Below are 5217 nucleotides of genomic sequence, written 5' to 3' on the forward strand. Positions count from 1 at the left end.
TTGACATGTCATCCAGGGCATGGACAGAGGCAGAAACCAGATCTTCGTGTGTGCATGTGTCTGTGCATTAATCATCCACAGCATGCTTTGTGGACCACCATACCTAAGAAGGTTTTGCAAACTATCTGGCAAGATGAGATAATGTGTTTCCACATTTAGCATTTTGGCTCTCCAGGCATCAGAACTTTGTAGCTTTAACTCAAAAGCTTATCACTATAGAAATAAAAATAATTTAAGTTTCCAATAGTAAGGGGAAGAAGACTTCTTAAAAGTCTCTTATGAAGCAGAATAATAAGTGAAAAGTAAGAGAAATGAGACTGGTTGGATTTTTACACTTTACAAAGTCAGAAGAGGGAATTTTCTGAATGCCTTTTGCCAACAGCAAGTCCTTGAAACTCAGCTCAAGATTTGAGCAAAGCTAGATTGGCTTGTCTCTAATTTAGGATAGAAAAGAGAAAAAATGAAAAAGTTAAACCCCAGGGACCCAAGGGAAATTTCTAAAAGCTTCTTATATTTTGATACTGTGTTCCTGGTTTTAATCCTCTTTTCGAATCTAGTTAGTTCATGGCTGCCAGATTAATCTTCCTGAAATATCATTTTGTATACGACACTTTCCATGCTCGGAAATTTACAAGAGTGGTTTATTTTCCCCAGGAGGGGATAAAAGTTAGTAGCCTGGCATTCGAAGGCCATTTGTGCTGGCCTCTGCCCACCTGCCAGACTCTTCCTCCACAGCTACAGCCATAGGATTCTCCCTGGTCTTTTTCTGAGCATCCCATGCACATTCTCCTTTCTTGTTTTTTCCTTACATGTGGTTGTCAAACTCTGGTATGCATGAGAATTACTTTAAATGCTTGTTAAAAATACCAACATCACCATCATCCTATTCTACCAAATAGGATAGACTGTTTACACTCAGCTCTGCTTGTTAAGTCTTAGTCTTCTTCTTAGCCAAGCCTAGGTTCAGAGTTGCCAGAAGCCCAGCTTAGATAAGAACTTTGAAAAGAGAAAGGCATCCTAGGCAGGGGGAGAAACCAGGCAAAACTGGAAATGTTTGGAAACCATCAGTCAAAATTTGGATTAGCAGATTGAGTCTAAATGACTTAGCATTGCCTAATGTGACTGCACGGAGGAATTCTAATGCCTTTTATTGAAAAGGTGCCTGTTTCAAGGCTGGAGAGAATTGAGTCTAAGTCCTCACTTATTTGCTGATACTGGGCTGGCTTGGACAAGTGCCTTGTTTCTCTGACATCTACTTCATTCACTTGGAAAATGGACTACATGTTTTCTTTATTGTAGAGGTAAGATGTTATAACGTGTGCAATGCATTTGGCACATAGTGGGTACTTAATAAATGTTGGCTCCCTTCACTTCTGTCTGGGTGGCTGAGACAGGCTGAAGAGCCAGCTGCTGTGACACAGTGGCGAATTCCCATTTTCAGCTAACGACTCCTGCATTTCTACGTGTAAGAATTTCCTCTCTGAGACATGCTTTTCATGTCCGTGTGCTAGGCTGGACATACCAGAGAATTAATCCTCTTCAGGAACAGCTCTCAACCAATGACTAATGGGAATGGTTGTAACTCAGCTTCCTCATCCCTTGGGTGTGATAACTCAGAGTGACTGCATGGGATTAAACTCCAGGCAGCTGTAGTGGTAGCTGGCTTAAGAATTGGCCAATTAAAGATAAACTCTTAACTGACTGCCTTCTCTCCCTTGTGTCATCCACTCCCCAACTAGTCTTTATTTCACCTCTCAAATAAACTAATTGTTTCCTCATGCCCATCTCAGGGACTGCTTCTTTTGAAAGAATGCAAACTGAAACAGACTGTTAGTCTGCTTTCCTCTTCACAACTTCTCCCAGTAGAGCTGGTCTAGCAGCTCCCAAATGTTTTATGAATCTGGGTGGCAGAATAGGTATATAATCTCAGTCTTTATAAGCCATGTTGTCATCGTGGAACACAAGAAATGTGACAGTGGCAATAACACGCTACATCTCAGTCACCCTAATGTATAAACTAATACAACAGTTGGGTACATTCCATGTCTCTGATATTAAATGATGACTGAATTATTGATAACCAGTTCCACACGCCCTTGAATCAAATATTCATATAGCAATATCTTGCATGTGGCAACTGGATTCCTTCTGAATGATTTTTATCACTCAGAAACCTGCCCACATCTTTCCCCTCATACAAGATGAATTGGTTGCATTCCAGAAAGATAACTTGTGGAGATGAGATGTTTAAACATTGACTGTTGTGTTCTATCATAGTTGACACACAGCAGGGTTTTCCTGGGACAAGTGTCAAGCACCAAAGAAAGATATCAATGGTCTGAGACTTTCATTAGGGTCTATTACAGAGTTTGTTTTTGCTGGCCTATTTCATGATAATCTTGAAATGGGAAACACAAAACTCAGGCATGGAAGAACTGGAATGGGCTTTCCATTAGCACATTTGCTGCACATTTATATTTACTATATGGTTGCAAGAATTTCTGTTTATGTAATCTCACACTTCTCTGGATTCTTGTAGCACTTTTAGTCTGTATTGCTCTTAGGCACTTATATAAGTCTTGTATTACACATTTATTGGTGTATGTCTTCTCTTTTCTATTGGATCATATTCTCCTTGAAATCATGGTATTCAGTGTTTTTGACATTGAGATGTTTTCTCCCCTAGGTCCTTATATCTTACCTATTCTTGCATTCTCAGCACTTAGTTAAGAATCTAAAATATTGTAGGTGCTTCATAAATGCTTGTTGAATGACAACATTTGACACCAAATGCATGCAATATTGATACCTCAGATACAAAAGACCTATCATCTCAGTAAGGTTTGTGTGCCATGGGGTGCATAGTTTGTATCCTCATTATCTGTCTTCTGGATCTAGTCTCTTTAAAGATTTCTGAAGAAAAAATTATGCTAAGAGATCTCTTTGGAAGACGTTAAAAGGGCATGTTAGCTTTTATTAATTTTGTTAATGTTGCAGACACTCAGTGCCATACCTTGTCATTCAATAGCATTTATGGAAACTTATTATGGTTTGGGCTCTTTACTGGCTTCTTGGAATATTTAGTTTTTCAAAACATTTTGCCACTCATTGCTATGTGCATTTTGATAATTACAAGTCATTGATGAACATGCACAAGGGTCATAAATAATTATACAATTTTTATAGTGTGTTGTAAAGATAGGAATTAGCTGGTGATACCATTACTGAAAAAATATGCTTTTATTTTATGTAAAATATAAAATTAAAAAAATAACACTGACCAATTTCCAGATACTAGCCACTATGATGTAATGAATTAACTGTGCCAAGCAAATACTGACTCATGTAAACACTTGCAACAATCCTATGAAGTATGTATTGTCTTCCTTTTATTTTCCCAATAAGCGAACTTACCTGGGGCCAGACACAGAGCCAGGAAGTAGCATATTTGGGATAGAATACAGGAAATCTGACTCCAAAATTTGCTCACTTAACCAGTGTAATGCTGTTTCTCATAGCTAGTTGTTTCTCATTTTATTTTGGCTGCCAGGATGTTTAGAGACAAATTTATCATTGAACTTTACATTTACATTTAACTTTGACTTGAATTTCTTGGCATTTGTTTTCCTTTTGATCTCATCTTCCTCTATTTTGCTGTTGCCTTGATTTTTGAAAATTTCTATTTTTTAAATCTTATTGCTTTATATGTGTGGGTGACAACAATATCATTGGCTATAACGCAACTTTCATTATTGATATCATTAGGCAGAAGATATCCGGTAATTCTATAGCCAGTCACTTTCTTAGGAAATGATGATCTGGATAGGTGAAGTAACTTGTTCTGGTTCACATAGCTATTGAGTGGTCACTCTGTTGGAAGAATCCATCTCCCCTTGCTTCTGATCTAATGTATGGTTTTCTTTTTTTTTTATTATTATTATACTTTAAGTTCTAGGGTACATGTACACAACGTGCAGGTTTGTTACGTATGTATACATGTGCCATGTTGGTGTGCTGCACCCATTAACTCATCATTTGCATTAGGAGATATACCTAATGTATGGTTTTCTGCCACACCGTACTGTCCCACGTCATTTCATGCTCATTTATGACAAAAGATCATTTCTCAATCATTTCCTATGTTTTCTTCACTTCCTAGAATATATTTAATCTTATATCTTAAGAAATAATTTAGTGTATTAAGAAAGTTATGGCCCCAGAAGTCAGGAATCCCTGTGACACTAGAAAAATTATGGAAATTCTTTGGGCTTTGTTTCTCTCACTTATATTGATCAATATGCTAATGTCTGAGGCGCTTTTTGTACATGGATGTAAATACTCACTAACATTTATAATTTATTTCACATGCAATTTATTAAGCTCATATATCTAAGAATTAAACTTTGAAAAAAATTCATGAATATTAAAATTACTGATTTAAATTTTGATCAATTAAATTCTCTCAAATAATTGATTGCAACTTCCAATTTAGTATAACATTCTTTTAAATGCTGCACACAAATTAAACTGCAGGCAAAACACAAACAGAATAATTATAAAATACTTTATTATACCTATATTCAAACCTATTCTAACTCTTCATTATAGTTTCAATGGATTTTCTTGTTAGCTTTATACAGATGCTCCTCGACTTACAATGGAATTATGTCCTGATAAACCCACTGTAGGTAGAAAATATTGTAAGTTAAAATGCATTTAATACATATAACCTACAAAACATCATAGCTTAGCCTAGCCTAGCTTAAATGTGCTGTAACACATTAGTCTACAGTTGGGCAAAATCATCTAACACAGTGCCTATTTTTATAACAGTGTTGCATATCTCATGCAATTTATTGAGTACTGTACTGAAAGTGAAAACTAGAATGGTTGTAAGGGTACTTGAAGTACAGTTTCTACTGAATGGGTATTGCTTTTGCACCATTGTAAAGTAAAAAAGTCTTAAGTCAAACCATCGTAAAGTTGAAAAGTCCTAAATTGAAGCATTGTAAGTCAGGGGCTATCTGTATTTTGTTTTATATTTTCTAAGGGTTATTTATTCATGTAGTTGGGGTATCTCTGGACCTTCATTAATAATAATTTGGAATATAGGAAAGCAGTAATCTTACCAGATGCCAAAGAAAAAGAATATATTTGTGGACTATTTAAGATTTCAGTACTTAGGTTTTAGGTCAGTTGATCCTCAGTCAAGAGCAC

General features: G+C 36.2%; 1 annotated feature.

The window, feature by feature from the left end:
* Positions 1618–1818: a silencer, noted in NCBI's record as "peak7166 fragment used in MPRA reporter construct". NCBI's record gives its function as "represses an SCP1 promoter by STARR-seq MPRAs in K562 erythroleukemia cells {active_cell/tissue: K562}" and the evidence as "EXISTENCE:reporter gene assay evidence [ECO:0000049][PMID:32103011]".

The sequence above is a fragment of the Homo sapiens genome, chromosome 8, assembly GCF_000001405.40.
Source record: "Homo sapiens chromosome 8, GRCh38.p14 Primary Assembly".
In the NCBI taxonomy this organism is placed as follows: domain Eukaryota; kingdom Metazoa; phylum Chordata; class Mammalia; order Primates; family Hominidae; genus Homo; species Homo sapiens.